At 49.9% G+C, this 26885-nt stretch overlaps 1 protein-coding gene across 4 annotated transcripts, besides 2 other annotated features; it reads right to left on the reverse strand.

Moving 5' to 3' along the window:
* CFC1 (cryptic, EGF-CFC family member 1) lies at positions 7973-15383 on the reverse strand. Of its 4 annotated transcripts, NM_032545.4 has the most exons (6): positions 15073-15383; positions 14718-14767; positions 14450-14623; positions 13676-13790; positions 13302-13411; positions 7973-8884 (listed from the first exon to the last, which is right to left on the reverse strand). In NM_032545.4, exons 1-6 carry the CDS (start codon positions 15093-15095, stop codon positions 8685-8687), a joined length of 672 nt encoding a protein of 223 aa, NP_115934.1. In that variant the 5' UTR covers positions 15096-15383; the 3' UTR covers positions 7973-8684. The 4 variants fall into 4 exon arrangements, with proteins under 4 accessions (NP_115934.1, NP_001257349.1, NP_001257350.1 ...); NM_001270420.2 differs by lacking the exon at positions 13676-13790; NM_001270421.2 differs by lacking the exons at positions 13302-13411; positions 13676-13790.
* Positions 8992-9492: an enhancer, noted in NCBI's record as "H3K4me1 hESC enhancer chr2:131350757-131351257 (GRCh37/hg19 assembly coordinates)". NCBI's record gives its function as "activates a minimal SCP1, AML or CMV promoter by ChIP-STARR-seq in primed H9 embryonic stem cells {active_cell/tissue: H9 hESC(primed)}" and the evidence as "EXISTENCE:reporter gene assay evidence [ECO:0000049][PMID:30033119]".
* Positions 13653-14153: an enhancer, noted in NCBI's record as "H3K4me1 hESC enhancer chr2:131355418-131355918 (GRCh37/hg19 assembly coordinates)". NCBI's record gives its function as "activates a minimal SCP1, AML or CMV promoter by ChIP-STARR-seq in naive H9 embryonic stem cells {active_cell/tissue: H9 hESC(naive)}" and the evidence as "EXISTENCE:reporter gene assay evidence [ECO:0000049][PMID:30033119]".

A 26885-nucleotide genomic window follows, 5' to 3' on the forward strand; every position in this document is an offset into this window, starting at 1 on the left:
TCACACCTGTAATCCCAGCACTTTGGGAGGCCAAGGTGGGCAGATCACAAGGTCAGGAGATCGAGACCATCCTGGCTAACACAGTGAAACCCCATCTCTACTAAAAATACAAAGAATTAGCCAGGTGTGGTGGCGGGCACCTGTAGTCCCAGCTACTCGGAAGGCTGAGGCAGGAGAATGGTGTGAACCTGGGAGGCGGAGGTTGCAGTGAGCTGAGATCGTGCCACTGCACTCCAGCCTGGGCGACAGAGCGAGACTCCATCTCAGAAAAAAAAAAATCTTCATAAAGACATTGGAAATGTAGAAAGAGAACGGGGATCTGCTAGGCCATGTTCTAGAGGGAAGCCTGCCATGAGAATGGTCATCACATGTCTGGGACGCACAGTGGTCTCTGCTGGGAGGGCCTTCTCAGAGCTCACAATTGGGCTGCACCTCAGCAGACCTTTGCAAAAACAGCAGAAGTCAAGGCCCAGGAGTGGAGCTGTGTTGGAGTTCTCCAGAGAAACAGAACCAATAGGATGTGTATGTATATTGTATAGTGAGACTTTTCATCTTAGGGAATTGGCTTATGAGATTACGGAGGTTGGCAGGCAGGCCAGCAGGCTAGAGACTCAAGGAGAGCTGATGGTGGATCACTTGAGCCCAGGAGTTGGAGACCAGCCTGGCCAACATGGTGAAATCCTGTCTTTACTATAATAAAAACACAAAAATTAGCCAGTCATGGTGGTGTGCGACTGCAATCCTAGCTTCTCCGGAGCCTGAGGCAGGAGAATCCCTTGAGCCCAGGAGTTTGAGGCAGCAGTGAGCTATGATCACACCACTGCACTCCACCCTGGGTGACAGAGCAAGACCCTGTCTCCTAAAAATGAAGAGTTTCCGGGAGCTCTTTCTTTGTCCCCTAATGGTAATTTTTCTTTCCATAAACACAACCACCAAAACTTCAATTTTAAAAACTTATGCTATGGTAAGAAAGACATAGTTCTATGTTTCATGTTCTAACATGAAAATGTTACAGAAGATGCTGCTTTTTAAATGTGAAAAATCGAGTTATATTGATTTTTATTTATTTTATTTATTTACAAGATTGGGAAACAGATAAAAGGAACATAAGTAATGTCTTAGTCTGTTTGGGCTGCTATAATAAAATGCCATAGGCTGGATGGCTTGTAAAGAACAGAAACGGCCGGGCTTGGTGGCTCACGCCTGTAATTCCAGCACTTTGGGAGGCCGAGGCGGGTGGATCACGAGGTCAGGAGTCCAAGACCAGCCTGGCCAACATAGTGAAACCCCATCTCTACTAAAAATATCAAAATTAGCCAGGCACGGTGGTGGGCGCCTATAGTCCCAGCTACTCGGGAGGCTGAGGCAGGAGAATGGCATGAACCTGGGAGGCGGAGCTTGCAGTGAGCCGAGATGGCACCACTGCACTCCAGCCTGGGCGACAGAGCGAGACTCTGTGTCAAAAAAAAAAAAAAAAAAGAAAAAAAGAAAAAAGGAAAAACAAAACAAAACAAAACAAAAAAAGAGAAATTTAGTTCTCACAGTTCTGGAGAAGTGAAGTCTATTTTCAAGGTGCTGGCTGATTTGGTGTCTGGTGAGGACCCACTTCCATAGATGATGCCTTCTGGCTGTGTCCTCACTTGGCAAAAGGGGTGAGGGGTCTCTCTGGGGCAAACAATTCTATTTAAATACAATGTATTTCACACATATACATGAGCCAGAAGGAAACTCAAACTATAATGTGTTTGAGTTTTTCTTGTTTTTTTTTTTTTTTTTTTTTTTACAGAGTCTCACTCTGTCGCCCGGGCTGGAGTGCAGTGGGTCAATATCCGCTCACTGCAACCTCCACCTTCCAGGTTCAAGTGATTCTCCTGCCTCAGTCTGCTGAGTAGCTGGGATTACAGGCATGTGCCACCACACCAAGCTAATGTTTGTATTTTTTTTTTTTTTTTTTTTTTGAGACGGAGTTTCGCTCTGTCGCCCAGGCTGGAGTGCAGTGGCGCGATCTCGACTCACTGCAAGCTCCGCCTCCCGGGTTCACGCCATTCTCCTGCCTCAGCCTCCCGTGTAGCTGGGACTACAGGCGCGCGCCACCATGCCCGGCTAATTTTTTTTTTGTATTTTTAGTAGAGACAGGGTTTCACCGTGTTAGCCAGGATGGTCTCGATCTCCTGACCTCGTGATCCGCCCGTCTCGGCCTCCCAAAGTGCTGGGATTACAGGCGTGAGCCACCGCGCCCGGCCTATGTTTGTATTTTTAGTAGAGATGGGGTTTCACCATGTTGGTCAGGATGGTCTTGAACTCCTGACCTCGTGATCCGCCCGTCTCAGCCTCCCAAAGGGCTGGGATTACAGGAGTGAGCGCCACCGCACCTGGCCATCTGTGTTTTTATTTATTCATGTATCTGAGACAGAGTCTCATTCTGTCTCCCAGGCTGGAGTGCAGTGGTGTGATCACGGCTCCCTGCAGCCTCTACTTCCTGGGCTCACGTGATCCTCCCTCTTCAGCCTCCCGAGTAGCTGGGACCACAGACGCGCACCACCACGCCTGGCTAATTTTTTAAGACTTTTTCGTAAGGAAGGAATCTCATTATGTTGCCCAGGCTGGTCTCGAACTCCCGGGCTCAAGTGATTCTCCTGCCTCAGCCTCTCAAAGTGCTAAGATTACAGGGGTGACCCACTGTGCCTGGCCTCATTTTATATTTATATTTACTCAAAATGACAACCTCGACGGGTTTCCTTGCAAAGGTGTGCAGAGCACAGCAAGAATTTCAACGGGTAGAGTGGGCGGACTCGGGTGGGGCGCGGCACCCCCTCCCCCATCCCCTGCGGAGCTTTTCTCAGCCTGCGCCTTCCCGCGCAGGAAGAGGACCATGTGCGGTCCTGACGCTCTTCCCTGAAGAAACCCTCATGTCGATTTTCATATTATAGTGTTTCTTGCTCACCACACAGGAATTATGGCGGGCAGGAGTGAAAGAGACAGACTTTCCACACGATAACGGCATTTCCTATTCTTGGCAACATTGTTTAAAGCAAAATATTAGACCCCAAATGGTGAAACTTGGAGGATGATTCCCCCAGCTCTGCCCAATGGCTCCTTTTTCCTGAGGTTCTCAGCAGCACTTGGCGGATGTGGCTACACCGAGGTCTGACTGCAGAAGGCAGGAACCCTGTCCTGCCTTCCAGCTATTGAGATCCTGGGAGGGCTGACTGAGGCCGCCTGTAATACCAATGGGAATGAGAGAGGGGCTGGAGTGATGCTGCAGTGGGGGAAGTTTCTTTTATTAAAAAAAAATATATTATTTAATTTTAATTTAAAAATTTTTGAGACAGGGTCTTGCTCTGTAGCTTAGGCTGGAGTGCAGCGGTGGCATCATATTATATAGTTCACTGCAGCCTCTACCTCCAGGGCTCAGTGATCCTCCTGCCTCAGCCTCCCAAAGTGTGGTGATTACAGGGGTGAGCCACTGTGTACCTGGCTGGAAGTTTTCATTTGATGCCAAAAGTGTCTGAGGGAGCAAAGACTCTGGGATGACTGAAGTCTCAGGCCTGGCAAGCACCCCACACAGGGAGGCTCAGGAACAAGGGTTAAAATGATAATTGACGTCAAACTTGTAGTGGAGGTTTACAGTCTCTCCTAGACTGCAGAAAAGGTGCCTGGGGGTTGGAATCCAGGGGCCAAACTGCAGCCCCCTGATTTCCTGTTCGCTGGCTTCCGGACCTGCTGAATTCTCCCACCTCCTCAAGCCTGGGTTTTCTACATAAGTCAAAGACCGTAAAGGTGGCTTTTCTTTCATCATGATCTATCACATGCCATGAGGGAAAAATACAAAGGTCTGCTTGGAGGTGAGATTTATTATTATTATTATTATTATTATTATTATTATTATTATTTTTTTTTTTTTTTTGAGAGGGAGTCTGGCTGTGTCGCCCAGGCTGGATGGAGTGCAGTGGCCGAGCTTGGCTCACTGCAAGCTCTGCTTCCTGGGTTCACGCCATTCTCCCACCTCAGCCTCCCGAGTAGCTAGGACTACAGGCGCCTGCCACCATGCCCGGCTAATTTTGTGCATTTTTAGTAGAGACGGGGTTTAACCATGTTAGCCAGGATGGTCTCGATCTCCTGACCTCGTGATCCGCCCACCTCGGCCTCCCAAAGTGCTGGGATTACAGGCGTGAGCCACAGCGCCTGGCCTATTATTTTTTTTTGAGACAGAGTCTAGCTTTGTCGTCCAGGCTGGAGTGCAGTGGCACAATCTCTGCTCACTGCAACCTCCGCCTCCCCGGTTCAAGCAATTCTCCTGCCTCAGCCTCTGGAGTAGCTGACATTACAGGCATTTGCCACCACACCCGGCTGATTTTTTTTTTTTTTTTTTTTGTATTTTTAGTAGAGTCGGGGTTTCACCATGTTGGCCAGGCTGGTCTCGAACTCCTGACCTTGTGATCCACCCGCCTCGGCCTCCCAAAGTGCAGGGATTACAGGCGTGAGCCACTGCACCCCGCCTGAGATTCATTATTAAATGAAGTCATTGATTCCGTGACAGATTCTGAAGCAGGGTGTGTCCGTTTAGAACCCAGTGAGCATGTTCTGGGTGGTGATGAGACTTCCCCCTAGGTTTACTGAGGTGTCCTTGCCAGAGAGTAAACCTCAGAGGCAGCAGCAGGCTGCTGAGCACAATGCTGGGTCCGAGCAGATGCTTGTTACTCATCATCCTCGTCTCGGCTCTGGGGTGTGCCCCGCCAACGAGACAGAAAGTCACCCCACCAGCATCAGGGGAGCTTTAGCAAGGACAGCCCAGAAGCAAGGCCTCAGTGGCTCCTTAGTCCATGGCGGTTCTAATGGTGTGAACAGCTCTTGCCTATTTGTTTTTAAATGTGGGTTTTATTGTTATTTAGGTAGGACAAGAATGCAGACATGGAAATGATGAAAAGATAGTTTATTATATTCATAGGGCAGGAGGACAGTCCACCCCACCCCACACAGGGCCACATGGAGAGGCACCAGGGTTGGTCAGGAAGCAAAGGGAGCAAGGGGAAAATGTACCAGGCAACTAGGGACAGCCCCTGTGCCCTGAAGCCTGCAGAAATGACTCACTAGCCAACCCTACACCATCTGCCCCTGCCTCACCTACTCCTTCCCACAGAAGCCACAGTACAGGCTCCTGCCCACAGTGCCCACTCCCTCTGCCTCCCGGCCCACCCTGGGGCTGCCCCATGTGGCCCTGCATGACACGCCTCCTGTTTCTAAGTGAGTATACACACTTTTTCCTCCTTGACATCATTTCCAGGTCTGCATTCTTACCATATCTGGTTAAAACGAATCTCATTTGAAAACGAACTGACTCGGCAAATAAATCACTCGCGAACAAACTAGTAATGTTCTCACATATGTAGTGCCAGAGTTTAGCTGTTTCAGGTAATTAACATAATTTGTATAAGGATTAGACATAGTTCTACAGTAGATCACATTTCAGATTTAATGACAATAAATTTGTTGGAGAGTCAGTGAGTTGGGATGCAACTCCACTTGTCAAATCATGGTTGCATCACAACCATAGGTTTGAGTACAGATAGAAGATCTGATAAAAATCAACAAAAGCATATAGGCTACATGGAGTAAAGAGTACTGTATATTTTGTTGTTACTTGAAATTCTGTGCTATAATGTACTTTATATCAGTAAAACTTATAATAAAGTGATATCGGCCGGGTGCAGAGGCTCAGGCCTGTAATCCCACCCAGCACTTAGGGAGGCCGAGGCGGGTGGATCACGAGGTCAGGAGATCGAGACCATCCTGGCTAACACAGTGAAACCCCGTCTCTACTAAAAATACACAAAGTTAGCCGGGCATGGTGGCGGGTGCCTGTAGTCCCAGCTACTTGGGAGGCTGAGGCAGGAGAATGGTGTGAACCCGGGAGGTGGAGTTTGCAATGAGCCGAGATCGCACCACTGCACTTCCAGCCTGGGCGACAAAGCGTGATTCCATCTCAAAAAATAAAAAATAAAAAAACAAAAACAAAAAACAAGTGATATCAGCATACTGATGCACCTGTTTTGTTTCTGGAGCGCCAGTTCTTACACACTGAGCAGCACATCCTTCCCCTGGGAGTACTGCAGACATTTCCCAGCCTAGGGCCCCACTCACTTGGCAGCACTCAGCTCCTGGGGATCCAGCTAGCTCTGTGGCCACAAACTTCCTTAGTACTGTGCTGGGGTTCTGAAGGGGTCCAGGTGCTGGCCAGATCAATGTGAGTCGAGCAGCTGTAACCATGGGAGACACAGCCCCTTGTTTTCCTTTCCCTATAACAGACAGTCCAAGTGAGATAAGTGCCTGCGCATAGAAAGCTTATCAAACTTAATTTTAAATACTCAAAACTGAATTCTGTGGAAAAGTCACTCCCAGAAACTTTTGTGGTGTGATGTATGGCTGTATGTGCCAGAGTGGCTTTGCAGACAATGGAAACTGGGAAAATATCCAGAGACTGCTTTTGAACGCTCACAGCCAGAAGAGTCGATTTGGTTCTAGGCTAGAGTGGGGAAATTGTGATGTGGCTGAAAGGAACAAGAGTGCCCCTCAGCCGGCAGGCATTCGCTGGGGCTCCGAAGTTAAACCCCAACATAGGAATGGGCTGAACATACCAGCCCTGTGCTGGTACAAGTCCTTATGCATCCCCTGCGTCTCCTCCCAGTGTCGCTGGTGAGTGGCTCCCTCGGAGAGGGGATGTGAGGACAGATTTTGCTCTTCTGGGATGTGTGGGGGATGACTGAGCCAGGGCTAAGCTGGCAAGGAAAGGGCAGCTTCTATAAACACTGCAGAATGGACACAGCTGGGGACTGCTCTGGGAAGGGAGATGCCCTCCCTCCATCCGGGTGAGCAAAGCCAGAGGTGTGAACAGGCTCTTCCCAGCAAGGGGTGCTGGCAGATAGTGGCCTAGGGGGATTTCTCTATCTCTCCTCCTCGACTGCGGGGGACAGATAAGATCTGGGACACATTTATGTGAAGCTAACAGCCATGAGCCCAGCATTGCTCTTTTCTCTCCTGAGAAGTTTCTCCTTTTTAACTGTCTCCCTGGACGCCTGGGCTGCCAAAAGAAAATGCCTTTTATCTTCAAATTCTCCTTGTCTTTTCAGAGCTAGGTACTTAAGGGCTTCTCAGTTAGTAGACAGATAAATGGTAACTTTGGCTTTCTTGCTTATAATCAAGAATCATTCCACTAGAAGGATCCATTCTAGTATTCTAGTAGAGAAATCCATAGAGCCTGATTTCTAATTTTCTAATTAAAACGTATTTATACCCTATTCATACTAATATTGAACAGTTCTCAGTTTTCCTTTTAACCACAACTGTGACCTCTCAAGTTCCATTTCCTAAGTGCACCTACTGAAAATAAGGCAGTGTCTTTTTTGCCTGCCAGTGTTGTAAAAAATAGGCATTTTGTAAACACAAATTTTATGAATAGCATATACATATTCATCAAGCTCTTAGGCTAATTTGCAAAGTTCATCACTTGTTGATTCCTACAATAAACTGAAATAAGGAAAGGTACTGCTCAGAACACACTTGAAACAACTTTGGTATAAATATATATATATTTTTGAGACGGAGTCTCGCTCTGTCGCCCAGGCTGGAGTGCAGTGGCGCAATCTCGGCTCACTGCGAGCTGCGCTTCCCGGGTTCACTCACACCATTCTGCCTCAGCCTCCCAAGTAGCTAGGACTACAGGCGCCCGCCACCACGCCCAGCTAATTTTTTTTTTTTTTTTGTATTTTTAGTAGAGACGGGGTTTCACCGTGTTAGCCAGGATGGTCTCGATCTCCTGACCTCGTGATCCGCCCACCTCGGCCTCCCAAAGTGCTGAGATTACAGGCGTGAGCCCCCGCGCCGGGTCTCAAAAAATATTAATGCCTAGAAATATTTATGTCTCAATACTTGAATAATTATTTTTCTCATGAACCAATGAACTCCAAGCCAGCCCTCTAATGAAGTTCTACTTTATTTTTCTTTAATACTCATTTGAATGTTACGTTAAATTCATATTTTCATAGCCAATAGTTGAAAAGATTGAAAATGCCAATAAACTAATTGACAATATAAAATGTAAAAGTAATTATGTCACACAGGCTCATGAACTACAGTGGATTTAAAAAGCTGAAGAGCTCAATGCAAGTGCCCTCTACCCGAAGTGTGTGCTCTTGAGGGCACATTCCGCATGGCCAAGCCTTTGTGGTGTCGCCGGGCCTGGCGTCCTCAGCTAGTGGCGCACATCCCCCTGGACTGGTTGTGGACACGACAGCCTCCTCAGATTGGGAAGCGACCTGAGAAGCGGTGCTCGGAAGACAGAGGAGGCTGGCCTGGCGCTCTTCAGGCTGAACTCTGCCTGCGTTGCCTTGCGGTGGGTTCCACAGCAGACGCTTCCCCCTTAAGGGAGATGTTGTGAAAGGAAGGTGCTAACTGTCAGGGGAAGGTGGCGGTGCCAGGCTTTCTGGCTCCAGCTTTGGCTCCTTCTCGCTGTTGTTCTGCTGTCTCTACCTACCGGTCACAGTGGTGCTGGGGACACACGTGTCCCTCTCCCAAGGATCTGGAGCCAAAGGCGCTTTCATGAAAATATTTATTACCCAATAAAAATATTCACCCAGTGCTTCAGCTTACGGTAAACTAAACACATCTATTATTTACAACATAGAAAATTAAAGGCGATGCCCAAGTCCCGGCCTTCCGCAGGGGCGCCGCTCCCGCTGGAGGACGGAAGGGACCAGGGACCGAGGGTGCGCGGGCGCATCCGGGCGCAGGAGGCGGTGCAGGAGTGCGCAGGGCAGCAAGAGTAGCAGGCTGGGCGCGCCCCCGGCGCTCGGCCCGTGAGCGTGGGAGGCCAGGAAGTCTTTCGGGTCTGGAAAAACAGAGAAACCGGAGATGTATGAAATAAAGTGTTCCGGCTCGGTTTGAGAGAGTGCAATAGAAACGCCTGCTCCCTGCCTTCTGCAGGCCCTTTTCTCCTGCGCCCTCACTAGGCTCTGTCCCTGGGACGCGCTGCAGGGTGAGGTGTGCGGAGGCCAGTCCCGGCCGGCTGCACAGAGGGAAGCCTCTAAATGTTTGTAGAACTCGGAGAGCTGAAGGAGAATTACAGTACTGTGTTTAAAGGGGGAACGAAGAACAGCCCTTCCGTCTTTTTCATTTGGCCCGTGACCTTTCAGGGAGTCCCGCTCCAGGTCATTGAGCGATGGGGCACATAGACCCGATTTAAAACAGTGCTATAGTATATAAATCAGCTCGCTTCCGTCTGCTGCAACAAAGGTTCCACTTTTCCCCAAATGAGTGCTCGAAATATTTCTTTGACGAGGGACAGCTGATAGAGCAGGAGGGTGCAGCCATCCAAAGTCTGGCTGCTGTTCTGAGGAGGCCTAGCCCTGTGAGTGGCGCCGCGCCCCATGGGACTCACCTGCCGGCCCCCTCGCCCACACCGCTGGTCATAGGAGGCCATGCCTGAACGCCTAGTCCCTGTGTCCCCTCCCCACCCCTCACAGCAGGCTTCATTCATGCTGAACCCTGAGGGTCCCTGAGCCTTGGTCTTTGTGTAGCTGGGACCCCAGCCCAGAACAGCGGAATGGGAATCTCTGGAGTGGTGGGGCTGGGCAGGGTCTTGGCTAATGCCCTGGGTGGTGGTTGCCATGTGAAGCGGACAACCTTGCAGGCATGGCAACCAGCACCACTAGAACATTCTCACAAGCGAGTCCAGGCCTGTCTTGGAGTGGGGTCAGGCTGGTAGAAGAGCATGCCCAACTACAGGGATCCTCTCCCCGGGGCCACTGAGCAAAGGCCAGCCACCTCCCTGCCCCCTGACCAGGCCTGCCCTGCCCTCTGCTATACCTCCAGGAGATGTCCTCTGGACTTGGGAACCTGGCATGAGCATGAAACTGGAAATTAACAAGGAATGATGCAGATGAACACCTGCAGCAAGAACCACTCTACACCTGTCCACAGGTAGGCTGTGGTAGCATTGGCCAGGTCAGGCTCACTCCAGGCTTGGGTGCCACCTCCCCATAGCACCCCCCACCTTGGGAGAGAGGATTGTTCCAGGGGTGCCAGAATCCCCAAACAGGAATGCTAACGTCTAGGCTCAGACGAGGCTCCAGAGAAGCTGGTGCTAAGACAGGCGCTCACAGCATGTGAAGCTATTCAGGTGAGAAAGGGGTCAGCAGTACTGGGTCCGTGCTGGCCTTCCCCTGAGGGAAGGAAACAGGAGGGCTGGACACAGGGTGTATGCTTACAGGCTCAGAGTCAGCTGGTGCCAGGACCTGTGAGAGCCATTCCAATGGCATCCCAGAGGTCTGTAGACTGGGTCTGGCCCACGGATGTTTGTTTGCTTGTTGGTTGGTTGGTGGGTTTTTGCCAGAATGGCATGTTTAAAAATGAGTTTGCAGCAGTGAGGTGAGTCTTCACCGGGCCCCATCTCACTTCCGTGTTACCTGCCCATCTCTGAAGACACCTGAGTTGGCTACATCACTGTGTCATTCCACAGACTCTGAATTTTAGAGTAGTAAACTGTCTCTTGATGCTTGTGAAAACTGATACTTGATGCTTTAGGGCCACAGTAGAAAGAACCACCCCCTTAGACTAACAAGGAGATCCTGGCTAGCTCAGGACTGCGCAAAAGTCCCTGCTACATGGAAGCTTTTCATTCTTGGACCTGCAGAGCATCAGTCAGAGCAAGGAGGGCTCTTGGTGATCCCCAGACAGAGAGTCCCTGCAGCAGCCATGCTTTTGTAGCAACATATTCTATCTTCCACATACTCTTCAAAACCATCATAATCTCCCATTAAAGGATTTAAAACATTTACTTATCTATTACTGTGCTGTTGGCTTTGGAACATGACCAAATTTTCTATATTCTATACAACACTATAAAAAAATCTTCATTTGTTTCATATTTATTCTTTCTTTTCTTTTTAAGAGACAGGGTCTCGCTCTGTCACCCAGGTTGGAGTGCAGTGGTGCAATCATAGCTCACTGTAACCTCACACTCCTAGGCTCAAGTGATCCTTTTGCCTCTCAGCCTCCCAAGTAGTTGGGACCAGAGGTGCTCGTCACCACACCTGGCTAATTTTTTGTAGAGACAGGTCTTGCTATATTGCCCAGGCCGTTCTCGAACTCCTGGCCTCAAGCAATCTTCCCACCTAAGCCTCCTAGAGTGCTGGGATTATAGGCATGAGCCACTGTACCCAGTCATATTGATAATTACTCTTATAGAAAGAGTACAAGAATGGGCCGGGCACGGTGGCTCACGCCTGTAATCCCAGCACTTTGGGAGGCTGAGGTGGGCGGATCACAAGGTCAGGAGATCGAGACCATCCTGGCTAACATGGTTAAACCCCGTCTCTACTAAAAATAAAAAATAAAAAAAGTTAGCTGGGCGTGGTGGCAGGTGCCTGTAGTCCCAGCTACTCAGGAAGCTGAGGCAGGAGAATGGCATGAACCCTGGAGGTGGAGCTTGCAGTGAGCCGAGACTGCGCCACTGCACCCCAGCCCGGGCGACAGAGTGAGACTCCATCTCAAAAAAAAAAAGACTACAGGAATGGCACAAGGTAAAGAATCAGACCCTGTTTACTATCTGTAGGAGTTGATCTCTCTGTGTCTCAGCTTCCCCAAATGTAAAAGGTGTACCTACTTCATTGGCTTTCATAAGAGTTAAATGGGATAATGGGTATATAAAGTGCCTGAAATACACTGAGGGCTCCTCTCATGCTGTAACACCCAGAAGAGCTTGCCCTATTGCAATGGCACCTGCCACGGAGGATGTTCCATCTATCATCACTGTTGTCAAACTTCAAGTCATCATAACCACCATCAGCACAGCCATCACCAGCATCACTGTAACTTGCCTTGAAGCAGGATGAATGGGTAAAAGAACACAAAGGTGTTACTGCCCTCTCTGCACCTGACAGATGACTCTGAAGGATGACTGCACTATTTTGTCTAGCTTTGATGAACAGAGGCCACATTTTCAGAGCCATTATCATTGTCCTTGGCAAATAGCAGTCCCAGCACTGGATGTTTCCAAGAATGTAAAATCATGACCAGATATCCTGGAAGTCATGACAGCTAGTCCCTTCCCCACATTCCTGCTGGGGCGGCCTAATGGCAGGTGGGAACTGACTTCATCTGTGAGGACCACACAAGCACCCCCTGTGATTCTGATGCCTGTCCATGAAATCTGTGTCCTCCTGTCTCTAGGGCATAGAGGAGCAGCTGGTGACTTCAGAGGCAGAGGCCCAGCAAAAGGAGCACACATAGAAGAGGGGGTGCTTTGGGAAAATGTGGTCTGCACGGCAGGCGGGGAGTGCTCTTCCCTGCTGGCACCATGCAGAGCTAGCTGAGGAGAAGGGAGCAGGGTGGGAAGTGGGGTTGGGGGCTGTGCCTCTATTAAGAGTGTCCCTTGACTGCTGGTCCTACCAGGGAGAGAAGAGAGGACAGGAAGGTGAAGGAGAGCTAAGCATGCATTGTGTACTCCTCCATTGTGGGCCTCCAAGAGCAAGAGGGAGGCTGGGGGAGCCGGGTTGAAGATCTTTGGGCCACTGGTGCTGCCCTCCATGCAGCCCTAGCAGGACGGCCTGAGAGCGACAGGTGGGAAGTGGGGTTGCGGGGCTGTGCTCTTTGACAGATGGAGGTGCCCAGGGCTGACTGAAGTGGAGGGAGGGGGCAGGAGAGTGGATCAGGGGCCTTGGCTTCATCAGGTGTGCCTCTGGACACTGCACCACCAGCCCACCCGGGCCTGGGAGAGGGCAGAGCTCGGGCTGGGGCCAAGAGGCTGGGCCTTCACTAGCTGTGCCCTCCATTGCTAGCCCCAGCCAGTGATCACCAAAGAGGAGAGGAGAGAAGGCACAGGATTCCAGAGGGAAATGCGGCTCCTGCCTGTGTCCCTGCTGGTCCCACAGCTGAGCAGATGGTGCTGGCCTAGTGCAGGGAAACCACCTGAGATTTACGCAGCTAACTTGTCTCCCAGCTTCCTCTCCGATTACCAGCTGGTCATCTCCTGAAATTCTGCTCACTGAAACGGACATGTGAGGACATGGTTTGGAAATCATTTTTAAACTCAGCAATCTGGATATGAGAACTTCAAAACAAAATTTAATTCACTATATGATTCCCAATGAATGCGACTTTCTTCAATGATGAATCGATCTACTTTGCTAAATGCTATGTGGCCTGGCACTGGAAGATGCACTGTGGATCGGTATGGAGGGTGAGCCGCAATGAAGGCGCAACCGCGTGCGGGGGTGAGCTGGGGACCGAATCACAGGGCCTCTTACCACAGCGGTCAGGCGTCTGGAGGGGGAGGCAGTGCAGGGCCCCGAAGATGCACCTGCAGAGGTGGCAGGCGCGGAGGGTCCAGGCTCCGTGCTCCAGGGCGCCGCATTCACTGAGAAGACGGGGACCTGCATCAATGCGGTGGCCCGCGCGCCCCTCGCCCGGCGCCCACTCCTGCGCCGCTCCCCCACCCGCGCATCCCTCCCCCGGCGCCAACTCCCGCGCCCCCCAACCCGCGCGCCCATCGCCCGGCGCCCACTCCCGCGCCCCCGCACCCGCGCGCCCCTCTCCTGACGCCTACTCCCGCGCCCCCAGACCCGCAGGTCCCTCACCCGGCGCCCACCCCCGTCCCCACCCCGCGCACCCCTGTGCCCACCTGCGCCTCTGGTCATGCTCGCAGTAGCGGCCGGTGAAGTGGGCCGGGCACACGCAGAAGCTGCCCAGCACGCAGGTACCGCCGTTCCTGCAGCAGCGCGGCCGCGCGGACGCACCTGCGGGGTCACCCGGGCGTCAGCCCCGCGCCCCCCGCGGCCCGTGGCCCTCCCCGCAGGGACGGGGCCGAACGTGGCCGCCCAGGGGAGGCAGTAAAATCAGCCTCCAGCCAAGTGTGTTTGCTCAGGTAAACCCTGCTTGTTAGGGATGTGAAACAAACTATCAGGGGTGCGGCCTGCAAGCCGGGCTTGCTCTCTCCCTTCCTTTCACATGTTAACCTCTGGCTGTGGCTTCACCTGACAGTGATTAAGCACAGGCCTCCTGGGCGGGACCACCCACGGGTGTGATGACGCCAAACCCACCGGCGAGGGGCCTCCTGGGGACGCGGTGTCTGGGAGAAGCCAAGCAAGAGTCCGCTGTTATCTTGGCTTGGGATATTTATTTTCAACACATTTAAATCACAGTTCTCTAGATCTGCAGCAAAATAACCATTGAAGAGCAAATACAACGTTTTACCAATGAAAGAGTAAAGCTTTTTAACACCTCACTAGGAACTGTCTCTAGCTTTATAGCTTTGTAAGTGCATCATCATTTGAAGATAACAAAATGCTCTCCTTGGATTTTATCCTGAATTTATCCTACATATTCTCAGGTCCTAAACTCTGAGTCCGCAGACTGAGATGACGCCCCGGATTTTGTGGGCAGCGCTGCAACTTACCCTCTCCGAAAGCCCGGGAGTAGGGGAGCGGCTCCTCCGGCCCCCAGCCCTCGGCGCTCCCAGTCACCTCTCCGAAATGACTGGAGGTCCAGTTGAGCGGTGACTGTCGGTGCTTCTGAGTGGCAACCTTGGTGACTTCCTCTCTACCGCCGTTATGTTTCTCTCTTTGATAGCCTTTAAAAAATATTGAAAATGTGAGACTGATAATGATTGAGAAACAAATATTTTATGCAATTAAAACTGAAATTATGAATAAAATGTTTCTTACTGTTTCCCAAATTGATGATCTGTAATGCCAAACTGACCGTAAACAGAAGCCTAGAATATTTAAAGAAAATCATTGAAGTTGAAAGTATCTTTAGAAGTATAAGCAGAAATTCACATACACATAAAAATACAATGCCATCATTATATATAAATATAAAATTATGTAAAATAATTATAATGAATAAGGCAATCATTTTGTAACTTGTAGGTTTTTGTTAATTTTGCTATGGCTTAGAAAGATTTTGAGACAGAAAGTGTACACCTCCTTTAATGAACAGTGGCTCATGCACTACGATTTATTCTGAGGCTCTTAAGACCCCTTCTTGGCTCTAAGATCTCATGACCTCTGTCCTTACCTGACATGGTGCCTCCAGGTCATTTTTGGTTTGAGAGTCTCCTTCTCTTAGTGCATTGAAGATCAGTTTCCAGGAAAGCTGAATCTGAAGAGTCTCTGCATTTGAAGGTGTCTTTACTCCAGGCCCCGGGGACACAGAATGGACGAGTACAGAAGATGTGGATGTTCCCTTCCCTTCCTCAGCCAGGAGAAACGGGATGGTATCTTGAGTTCTGCAGTCCCTGAGCTAGGGTCGGGGGCGCAGTGACAGGCAGGCCCCTCCGAGCCTGAAGAACAATTCCCTCTATGAGACCTGGCTGGGGGGTGGGGACTTGGGCTGACTCCCCCCAGCAGTGTTTACAGTGCTGACAGCAGCAGGAGTGACCAATCCCTGATGTAAAACATTGGTATCCAAGGTGACGAGCCATTTTCTCACTGGAAAAAAAAAAAAATCCCAACATGAACAAAAAGCTTTCACAGGAAGGTGGAGATTTTCTACTGCATACTACTTGTACTGGGAGATGGTGAGGGGCCCTGTGGGAGAGGGAGCTCCTGTGTGGGGCACAGGCAACAGCCTGGGGTCCCAGCCGCCCTGAGTGGGGAACACGAGGATAAGGGAAAGCACGTCACCCCTGCTTTAAGAGAGGCCCCCTTACTCTGCAGATGGAGCCTCTTCTCTGTGCCCAGCAAGTGGGGGAGGGGCACTGCCCCCATTTACTATAGGACCCTCTAGGGTAGGCACTATTATTATCCCCCACGTGAAAAGAGAGAAAGGGAGGCTTAGAGAGTTTAAGTCCTTTGGCAGTTAGATCTCTGAGAAACATGAATGGCACCGATATGATGAGGAGATACCCACAGGTATTTAAGGCGAGCCCTTAGGAGCACAGGCGCAACTGCGGCGCCCGCCCATCGCCAGAGGAGCCTGCTGAATCCAAACGGAACCCAAGGAAGGAGTGATTTGGGGTATTTTCTAGCACCTTCTAAATCTGCTTTTCTAACTACCAGAATAGGGACTGAGCCCCTTTTATCAGCACTAAAGAAGACACTTTGCAACCCAGTGTTGCAAATTGTTCTGTGATTTTAATATAAAAACTCATTTCTAAAAATAGTATTCTTCCTCCAAGGCTGAAATAGTCTTTAATGGTGATTTAATTTCTTACATCTTTACGTGTGAGGTTTATTAAAGAGGCTGTTAAATAAAGCAATAGGAAATTGGAGGACCGGGCTACCCTGGGGGGCCTCCCAGCAATGGGTCCTGTGGGCTGCAAGGACCAGGTCAAGGCCAGCAGACCCGAGTGGGCAGAGCACATGGAGGAAGGTGCCCCAGGACTTCATCAAGCATCTGTAAGTGCTGTAAGTCATGAGACAAACACCTTGTTAATTTTGTTTTTTAGAGGCAAAGTGTCACTCTGTCAGCCAGGCTGGAGTGCAGTGGGCGATCATAGCTCACCACATCCTCGAACTTCTGGGCTTAAGTGATCCTCCTACCCCAGCCTCTGAGTGGCTAGGACTACAGGCTCGCGCCCCTATGCCCAGCTAATTTTTTTTTTATTTTGTAGAGATAGGGATCTTGCTATGTTTCCCAGGCTGTCCTCTAACTTCTGGCCTTAAGCGATCCTCCTGCCTCTGCCTCCCAAAGTGCTGGGATTACAGGCACAAACCCACCGTGTCCGGTGAAAAACACACTTTATTTTTTTGAGACGGAGTCTAGCTCTGTGGCCCAGGCTGGAGTGCAGTGGTGCAATCTCGGCTCACTGCAACCTCCGCCTCCCGGATTCACACCATTCTCCTGCCTCAGCCTCCCGAGTAGCTGGGACTACAGGCGCCCACCACCATGCCTGGCTAATTTTTTTGTATTTTTAGTAGAGACGGGGTTTCACCGTGTTAGCCAGGATGGTCTTGATCTCCTGACCTCGTGATCCACCCGCCTCGGCCTCCCAAAGTGCTGGGATTACTGGCATGAGCCACTGCGCCCGGCCGAAAAATACACTTTTAAACTCAGTGGTTACTACTGGTTAATTGCATCATTTAATTATATGTAAAAGTAAGTACATTTTATGACTTTAAGTTAATAGAATCTTTTGCATGAGCTAAATTGTTTGTATACTAAAATGAAGATGTATATAAGCTAGATGATTGTATTTTTTGTATAAATAAGTTTTAAAACTGTTCATTTTACAGAGTGATATTGAAACCAAACCTCTCTGACAATAGTAAAGCTTTAAAAGCAGCCTCTAAAATCTAACTTTCCCCCACAGTTTATTTATTAAATTTTACCTTAGTGGACATTTCCAAACATACACAAAGGCTGGTAGAATGAGCCAATAAACCCAGGTTCAACAATTAAGTATCAGCCTTTGCCAATTTTATTTCATTTGTTTCCTCCCTAACTTTTTTCTTGAAGTTTTAAAAACTCCAATACATCATGACATTTCATATGTAGAGTAAGATTTTGAAAATCTGCACTTTATAAGTGGAAACTAGGAAAAAAAAACGTCTTGCCAGCAAGACAGAACTGAGAAGCAAGAAATAGCAGTGCGACGTGCTTAAGCTGTTTGCTTAAGCTCTGCAGTCGGCTCTGAGGAGAAGGGCTGATGGCCAGGCAATAAAGCTTCTGATGACCTATTTTCGCCAAACTGTCACTTGCTCTCCACACAAAGCGGTCCCAGGTTGCCGCATTGACTCAAAGGTCTTATAAAAGGGTTTTGCATTTTACTGCAGAGGCGCTGCCCTGTTTGCCATCAAGAGGCCCAGCTGGAAGGGTTGCCTGGGAGCACTGGAAGGGAGGAGGTGGGTCCCTGCCAGGAAAGGGCCTCTTTTCTCCTTATCAGCTGTGAACAGATAAGGCTGGAGCCGACCCACCCGTCAAAACTCCAGAGGAATGTTCTGGCTCATAGAGTGTGTGGGACCGGAACCCCGTGCCAGGACTGGAGGCCCCGTCAATGTTCTCAGCACATCCATCATGAAGGAAAATGCTCTGCAACAAATTAGGTGTGAAGGGATTCTCTGAGGAGGACTTTAAAGCGATGGCTGTCCAAGTGGGCTGTCCCCGGCACCTGTGGGGAGTGAGAAACACCTTTCTCCACCCTCCTGGCTTCTTGGGTGGGGCTGCTTTCTGTCTCACACATTTTCCTCATCTAGAGATTGCATGTGAGGGGAATCATGCAGTATTTTCCTTTTGCGTCCGGCCTATGCCACGTAGCATAATGTCTTTTAGGTCCATCTGTGCTGTAGCGCACATCAGAGCTTCACTCCTTTTGTGACTGAATAATATTTCACGAACACCCATCCACCGCATTTTGTCTGTTTGTCATCTGTTGATGCATATTTGGTTTTTCTACCTTTTGGAAGAGCACAGTGAGATGGTAGCTATCCACATACCGATAAAGGAGGACTCCGGGGAACCCAAATCTGGTGACGCCTTGATTTCAGACTTCCAGCCTCCAGAACTGTGAGAGGAAATGTCTCTGTGGGTTAGGCCTCCCAGCCTGCGGCATTTGGTTAGGGCAGCCCGAGCTGACAGATACACCAGGTTTTTGTTTTTCCATGATTGTTATGTGTTATGTAATTTAGTAATTTTTGCTGCATTTAGAGTGCATTTGTACTGGTGGCTTTCTAGAATTACAGAGAGCATCTTTTACGCAGGGTCCTTACACAGACATTTTCATTCACGGGGGGACCCTGTAGACAGTCCTCAAAGGCAATGGCGTGAGTCCGGCTGATGTTCCTTTAAATCAAATGGTGAATCTGAACTGTTGTGTGGCCCTTCAGAAAGCCCAGCACAGTCTGAGATGCTCATTTTGGCCTCCAGGCAGTGACCATGCTGGACAGAACATCACCTCCGCAAGCAGTCGGGCTCCAGGACCAAACTTCATTTTCCAGATGATGCTATGCTCAGATAAGGACCTTTATTAATTATACCAATTTTTATTTAGCATAATTAGCAATGCTTTTAGTCTCTAAATCATACAAAATACCTGCCAGAAAAGATGTACTTGAACAAAACATGGTGCAGAAAGCAAAAATTCCCTGAAGTAAAAATGGAAGCTGAAAATAATGCACTTTAAGAGAGAGATGGGGGCCGGGCACGGTGGCTCACACCAGTAATCCCAACACTTTGGGAGGCTGAGGCGGGTGGATCACGAAGTCAGGAGATGGAGACCATTTTGGCTAACATGGTGAAACCCTGTCTCTACTAAAAAAAAAGTACAAAAATTAGCCAGGCATGGTGGTGGGTGCCTGTAGTCCCAGCTACTTGGGAGGCTGAGGCAGGAGAATTACTTGAACCCGGGAGGCGGGGTTGCAGTGAGCTGAGATTGCGCCACTGCACTCCAGCCTGGGTAACAGAGTGAGACTCTGTCTCAAGAAACAAACAAACAAACAAAAGCAATGAATCACATGAATCTGGGAGGCGGAGGTTGCAGTGAGCTGAGATTGTGCCACTGCACTCCAGCCTGGGTGACAGAGTGAGACTCTGTCTCAAAAAAAAAAGAGAGAGATTGGATCTTTCAGGGAGGCAGGCAGTCACGTGCTGAAGGACAGGCCTGGCGTGCAGGGGCCCTCCTGGGAGTGCAGGCTCAAGGAGGGGAATCAGCCTGTCCTCACCTCTGGGCTCAGAGCTGGGTCAGGCATCAAGACCATTTTATCTTCCCATGGCAGTGCCAGTGCTGCTGCAGAGCCCTGAGGACTGGGACACAGAGAAGCACCCTCCCTCAGGAGCTTCCCTTTCAACTGGGTGGCATTCAGGAAACAGCCAGGACCCTGCAGTGCCTGAGTGCTTTGACCAGAAGCATTTGGGCTTGGAAGGGTCTTTCCTGCCCTTTCCTCCACCCAGCCCCTACACCCTCCACTTCCAGCCTGGTGGCCTCTCCCCTGCACCAGCACATATGGCCTCCCCTAGGGTAGGAGGGAGAGGGTGAGAGAGTGGGAGTCCCCGCCTTTTGTGACCTGCTGTCTGTTAGAGGTGAGTCCAGGGCCACTCTAAGGGTGGAGGTTGCACATTGGCATGAAGGCCAGGAAGGACTCTTTGGGGCCCTGTCAGAGACTTAGCCACACCCATAGATTAAACTCGTTTTGCCATATGTGCTATTTTGTTTTTAGTGAAGAATTTTAAAGTAAATTACATACATCATGACATCTTCTTCCTGAATATTTTCATATTTAGGATGTCTGAAAAATGAGGCTGTGTTCCCACAAATCTGTATTAGATGGAACTGAATTAACAACAGTGCTCCAGAACCCTGGACCATCCAGCCTAAATTCCATTTGGGGATGAGATGCGTTTTTGCCTCAGAATCCCAAGCGGTAAGCACCATCAACCCCTCAGTTCATATCTCAATCTTCCTTTCTATTGGATTTTGTTCTCAATTTCTAACTTCTTACTAGATTATATCTCATTTAATTCTACTTGTTAAAGCTGATTTATTCTAAAATTTGATGAAGCAAAAGTCTGGATTTTGCCTCAATATAATAAGAACCACTTAATTATAAACATTGATGCAGGGCTTTGCTAACCTGCATTTTGTTCTTGGTATAGCCACATGTCTTTGGGGCCCCTTAAAAGGTAATTTTCCATATGAAGCACTTCTATATGGATCTACAATAAGAATTAACTTTAAAGTTAGTATTTTATTGGGGGATGATGCCCTGCTGATGAAACTCTGTGAATCAACCTCATTTGTTCATAGATAGCACTTGATATATAAAGAGCTTAACACTAGTCCCTCCAGACTGCACACCAATGTTCTGGATTTCACAGTGAGACTCAGAGGGTGCATGGGGGTTGTCACCTGCAGCTCTGGGATCCAGCCAGTTGGGCTGGGGCTTCCTCCCTGTTTAAATTTGAAAAGGAAACCAGTTTGGAGTAAGAAGTAGATTTTGCCTTGAAACAGCCAACCTACCAGTTTTAATGATTGACAACTGAGTTCACATAGAGAACTGAGCTCAATTTAAGAGTTAATAAAATGGGCCAGGAGTGGTGGCTCACGCCTGTAATCCCAGCACTTTGGGAGCCCGAGGCAGGCGGATCATGAGGTCAGGAGATCGAGACCATCTTGGCTAACATGGTGAAACCCCGTCTCTACTAACAATACAAAAAATTAGCTGGGCGCGGTGGCAGGTGCTTGTAGTCCCAGCTGCTTGGGAGGCTGAGGCGGGAGAATGGCGTGAACCCAGGAGGCAGAGCTTGCAGTGAGCCGAGATCGCGCCACTGCACTCCAGCCTGGACAACAGAGAGAGACTCTGTCTCAAAAAAAAACAAAAAAAAAAAAACAAAAACCAAAAAACTTAATAACATGAACAGCCTTTTTTGAGGGATAATTTCAAGGTTTTAAGATAAAAAGTAATAATCGGGCCAAGTGCAGTGGCTCACACCTGTAATCCCAGCACTATGGGAGGCCAAGGCAGGCAGATCACTTGAGGTCAGGAGTTGGAGACCAGCCTGGCCAACATGGTGAAACCCTGTTTCTACTAAAAATACAAAATTAGCCGGGCGTGGTGGCACATGCCTGTAATCCCTCCTACTCAGGAGGCTGAAGCAGGAGAATCGCTGGAACCCGGGAGGCAGAGGTTGCAGTGAGCCGAGATCATGCCATTGCACTCCAGCCGGGGCGACAAGAGCAAAACTCTGTCAAAACAAACAAACAAACAAAAAACAAACAACAACAACAAAACAAACCAGTAATAACCGTACTTTTGCATAAAATGCAGAGACAGATTTTCTTTTCTTCAGGCCCAGGTCCAATAAGGGACCCAGAGGGGCTGTGTGGAGTAGAGCTCTGCAGTTCTGAATGCCCACCCTGCTGGGAATAAGGTCATGCTTGATCCAAATGACTGCAGACCCAGCAAAGGACTCAGTTCTGATAAGACCTCAGCAATTTCCTGGGTGAATTTCAAGCCACTTCATTAATAAGTCAAAGCTTCACAATCGCAAAGATAAGGAATCGACCAAGGTGTCCATCATTGGATAAACGGATAAAGATAATGTGCCATATATACACAATGGTAAACTATTCAGCCATAAAAAGAACGAAATCATGTCTTTTGCAGCAACCTGGATGGAAATGGAAGCCATTATCTTAAGTTCTTAAGTGAAATAAGCCAGGCATAGAAAGACAAACATTGCATGTGCTCACTCATAATTGGGAGCTAAAAAATATGTATGCTGAAAGTAAGATGAGAGACAATGGAGACAAAGGGTGAAGGGGTGGCAGGGAGGAGGAGGAGGAGAAATTGGTTAATGGGTGCAATGTACATTATTCTGGTGACGGATATCCTAAAAGCCCCAACTTGGCCACTATGCAATCCATGCATGTAACAAAATTGCACATGTACCCCATGAATGTGTACAAATGAAAAAATAAGCTTCCTATTTTCACAAAGACAACAATCCCCTCATGCCACATAGTTTATTAATTGTTGACTTTGTGTTTGAGCTGCAAATAACTATTGTCACACAACTGTTTATGAACAATAGCTGCTTAGGGATTTCCTGAAATCTCTCCAGCAGGTGCACCTCTGTTGACATTGCTGCACGCTCCCACCCTCCTAATTCAGTCACCAGCACTCCTGAGAGCCTGCTCAGGCCCTGGCTCACTAAGTTAAGAAGAAAGCACCTTCCCTCTGCCAGCTCCAGTGTGAGGTGTGATAGAGGTCACATGCTGGGAGACGGAAGGAGGGGTACCTGATTTGAACAGGAAGGAGGGGTGTGTGATTTACGGCCATTCTGGCTGGAAAGAAGAAGGAAGAGTGGGAGCCTTTCAGGAAGACTGGGTGGGACTCCTGAATGTGGCAGGGGGTAGGAGGCCTTGGGGCTTGTGCCCTGTGGCTAAGTTGCAGGGTAGGCTGGGGTCCCAGCCTGGGTGGCATGAGAAGAGGGGTGGCTATGATAGCAGTGTTTGTCCTGTCTGAAACTCCTGCTGAAACTGAATCCCCAGTGTGGCAGTGTGAGAAGTTGGGTTCTTTAAGTGGCGATTGGGTCCTGAGGGCTTCATTCTCACGAATGGACTCATCCACCATGAGTTAATGGATTAGTGCATTATGATATCAATGGGACTGAAGGCTTTAAAGGAAGAAGAAGAAGAGGTAGCATCAGCATGCTCCACCTCCTTGCCATGGACTGTCCTACACTGCCTTGGGACTCTGCAGAGTCCTCACCAGCAAGAAGTTCCTCACCAGATGTGCTCCCTCGACCTTGGGAGAGAAATGAAAATTTCTTTTCTTTATCAATTACCCAGTTTCACGTTTTCTGCTATAAACAGCATATAACAGACTAAGACAGGTGCTGCTTGGGTTCAATGCTAAACACGTGATTTCTCTAACTTAGCAAATCGCCAAAAGCTAGGGTTCAGTCCAGTGTCTCTGATGCAGATTCACTGTTGGTGGCATTGGGCAAGGGCTCAGGGTAGCTGGGCAGCCTCAGCAGGGTGCAGTGCCAGGTCTCTTTCCAGAGGTGGCAGGTGTGAATGCACAGAGGTAGGGACCTCACTGGTTTTGGCAGACCGTTTAACCTCTCAGAGCTGGTTTCTTCAAGCACTACTTCAGCTAGTCTTAGACAAGAGGCTGTGGGGCTAAGCTTAGTGTGGAAGGGAGGGGAGATGAACACATCAATCATTAGTGTCCAAGAAGAGATGCGGAGGAAAGACTGTGGAAACAGAAAGCAGGGAGGACATTGTCTGCTTGGAAGAGCCAGCAAAACTGGGTGGAGGACACAGAGTGGTGGAGAGAGGGGCTGAGGTCAGCAGGTATAAGGTCAGCATGAGCAGTGTTAAAGAAAAATTACTCAACGTTACTAGCATGGCAGGTGGACTTTATTCCAGACCATTGAGGTAGGTATAGGTGGATCGAGATAGATCAGGTTCAACTCAAATACAGCATGGGCGAGGGGGAGCTGATAACCAAGGAGCAGGGTTGGGGGCAGTGGGTGGAAAATGACTAAAAGGTGATTCAGAGTTAAAGGACTCTGGCTAATCTGGCCCAATAGGATTCTTGCTGACGACAGGCCATGGTGGTCAGACTTCACCTTGGGGACGATGGAGGATGAGGAGCCTCATCAGATATGGAGGGCGATGAGGTATTGAGGGTAGGGGCTTCTTGCTAAACTGACTTACCAAGGTTCTTGGTGAAACTGAATTTTACCAGGACGTGCACAGATGGACGTAGGAGGAGGTTCGGGAGCTGGACTACCCTTTGGCCAAGCAGAGAATCTTTGTTAGCAGGAAGCTGAGGGCCCGTTGCAGGGCAGCAGAGTGATAGGTAAATAGGGGGAGCATATTCATTCATTCTCTCAACAATTAAATATTAAATACGTCTGTGCTACCAGGGATACAAAGGTAAACAAAGCAGGAAAAAAAGTTCTGCCTTTATGGCCAGTACATTCTGGTAGGAGAAGAAAGAAAATAAACAACATAAGTAAATAGTATATTAGAGGAAGAAAAATGCTATGGAGAGTAAAAAAATGAGGGCATAAAGGGACATTTGGAGTGTTTCACAGAGAAAGTGACACTCTGGCAAGACCTCCTCTGCTGAGGGAGCCAGGATGCCTGCAAAGAGTGCGCTGGGCCCAGGAAGGAGCAGGGAGTGCTGGCCCCTGCTGTAGGCCTCGCAGGCCTGCTCTCTGGTGGAGCCAGGGAGGCGCGATCTGACTTTTGAGCCTGTGTGGAGCATGAACCGCAGGGCGCAGGGTGGAGGCGGCTGCGAGGGGACCCGGAGCCTAGGTCAGGGCGGTGGAGGCTGGAAGCTTGCAAGAGTCGCAGGGATTAATGCTGGGTTGGATCTGGGTGTGAGAGAAAGAGCACACGGGGAGGACTCGGGGTTTTCCGTCCTGAGGAGCCATGAACTGAAACGGAGACTGTTTTGTTTGGAGCTGACTGTGAAGGAAGGGCGAGAGGTGGTGTCTATGAGCATCAAGTGGAAAAACGGAGGAGACGCTCCTAGCGAGGGAGAGGCCTGGGCGGGGCGCGATGAGCAGGCAGGTGGCATTTGGAGCTGCGGGAATAAATGCAACCCCAGGGAGCAGGTGTGGACAGAAAACAGAAGAGCGGCCTTGGGCAGCCAGGAGTCCCGAAATGTGCGCGGAGGAGGGGCCTTGGAGCGGGAGAGGAGTGGTCCAGGAAGCCACGTGCAGGGGGTGCTGAGGAGCAGCAGGGAGGGAGGCCCCCTGTCTTACAGCTGGGGGCTGCACTTCTCCATAGGCCATTGCTGCCGGCAGGAGCAGGTTCAGGGTAGTGCAGAGGTGGAGAGCTGAACTGGAGTAGCTCACATAGCGAGAGGGAGGAGGGGTGTTCAAGGTAAGACGAGACCACGCTTTGGAGCCATTTTGCTCTACAGGGGAACAGAGAAATGGGATGCAGCTGGAGAGCGAAGCATGAAGAGGATGTTTTAAAGATGGGCCAGGAAAAAGCACGTTTGTACAACTGACTAGAGAGGAAGAAGTGGGTGATTCAGGAGTGAGGTGGAAGGCAGAGGTGTCCTTAAGAGGTCTAGTCCGCCAGGGCAGGGGTGTGGCCATCCTTCTGCAGTAATGCAGGGAAGACACGTTGCCGTGAGGGGGCAGCCTGCAGATCTATTTTATTTATTTATTTATTTATTTATTTATTTATTTATTTATTTATGAGATGGACTTTTGCTCTTGTTGCCCAGGCTGGAGTGCAATGGCAGTATCTTGGCTCACCGCAACCTCCGCCTCTCGGGATCAAGCGATTCTCCTGCCTCAGCCTCCCAAGTAGCTGGGATTACAGGCGTGCACCACCACGCCTGGCTAATTTTGTATTTTTAGTAGAGACAAGGTTTCTCCATGTTGGTCAGGCTGGTCTCGAACTCCCGACCTCAGGTGATCCACCTGCCTCGGTCTCCCAAAGTTCTGGGATTACAGGCATGAGCCACTGCACCCAGCCAGCCTGCAGATTTATTTTAATGAGAAAATCAAAGCAAAAGCAGGGGCATAAGTGGAGCATATGGATGGGACAGAGAACGTTGGAGGCTTTAGCAGAGAGAGGAAAGGGCAGGAAGGAGTCATCCACAGGAGGGGAGAGTACTGTCCTGTGACTGCTCCTCCAAGCCCCCTCTTGCCGGCGTGGACACAGCGGTCTGCACCTTGACCCTATTGCATGCCAGTGGAGCAGAGCCCCCCAGGCCAGAAGCCCTATAGCTGTTGGCCCTGGCTTGGACACCGGGCAGGGGGCACCGGGGCAGGAGCTGGCCGCGATCCTGTGGCCCCAAATGCCCCCTCGCTGATGGCCTCGTGTTCTGGGTGCAGAGCAAAGAGGACCAGGTGTCAAAGGCACCTCAGGCAGGCGCTGGGCTCAGTGGGCATCTTGTGCTCCGGGATTTTGAGGCCATTTGCAGCCAGCTCCTCCAGCCCCAGCTCCGAGCTGCAGACGCTGCCACGCACAACAGCACCGCCAGGAGTGTCCCGGGGGCTTTCTTCAGAGGAGGCTGTCAGCATCCTCAAGTTCCAGCCGCTTAGCCCCAGTCCTGCTTCAAGAGGCTTTTTTTTCACCAGAGGCTTCTCAATGGCCTGAAAGCTCAGCTGACTCCCATGAAGTTTGCCAGGAACATAAGGCTGTCGGTGACATTCGTGGCGCCAAGATTTAAACACGCGGTTGCACGCATTGGCCACTGTCTGTGCCACATGCACTGACGCCACCTGAGATGCACACGCTGCACGCCGCACGCGCACGCCGCACGCGCACGCCGCACGCGCACGCGGCAGCGGCTTGGCTGGCTTGTAATGGCTTGCACGCGCACGCCACACGCGCATAGCGGTTTGGCTGGCCTGTAACGGCTTGCACGCGCACGCCGCACGCGCGTAATGGCTTGGCTGGCCTGTAACGGCTT

The sequence above is a fragment of the Homo sapiens genome, chromosome 2, assembly GCF_000001405.40.
Source record: "Homo sapiens chromosome 2, GRCh38.p14 Primary Assembly".
Taxonomy (NCBI): domain Eukaryota; kingdom Metazoa; phylum Chordata; class Mammalia; order Primates; family Hominidae; genus Homo; species Homo sapiens.

What these genes read in the sequence shown, in the direction of transcription:
- CFC1 (NM_032545.4), bottom strand. Translation starts at nt 15,095, where the DNA reads ATGACCTGGAGGCACCATGTCAG. An exon ending in CTCCCGGGCTTTCGGAGAGG is followed by an intron (nt 13,791 to 14,449) that starts GTAAGTTGCAGC and finishes GTGACCCCGCAG; the next exon opens with GTGCGTCCGCGCGGCCGCGC. An exon ending in GAGCATGACCAGAGGCGCAG is followed by an intron (nt 13,412 to 13,675) that starts GTGGGCACAGGG and finishes CCGTCTTCTCAG; the next exon opens with TGAATGCGGCGCCCTGGAGC.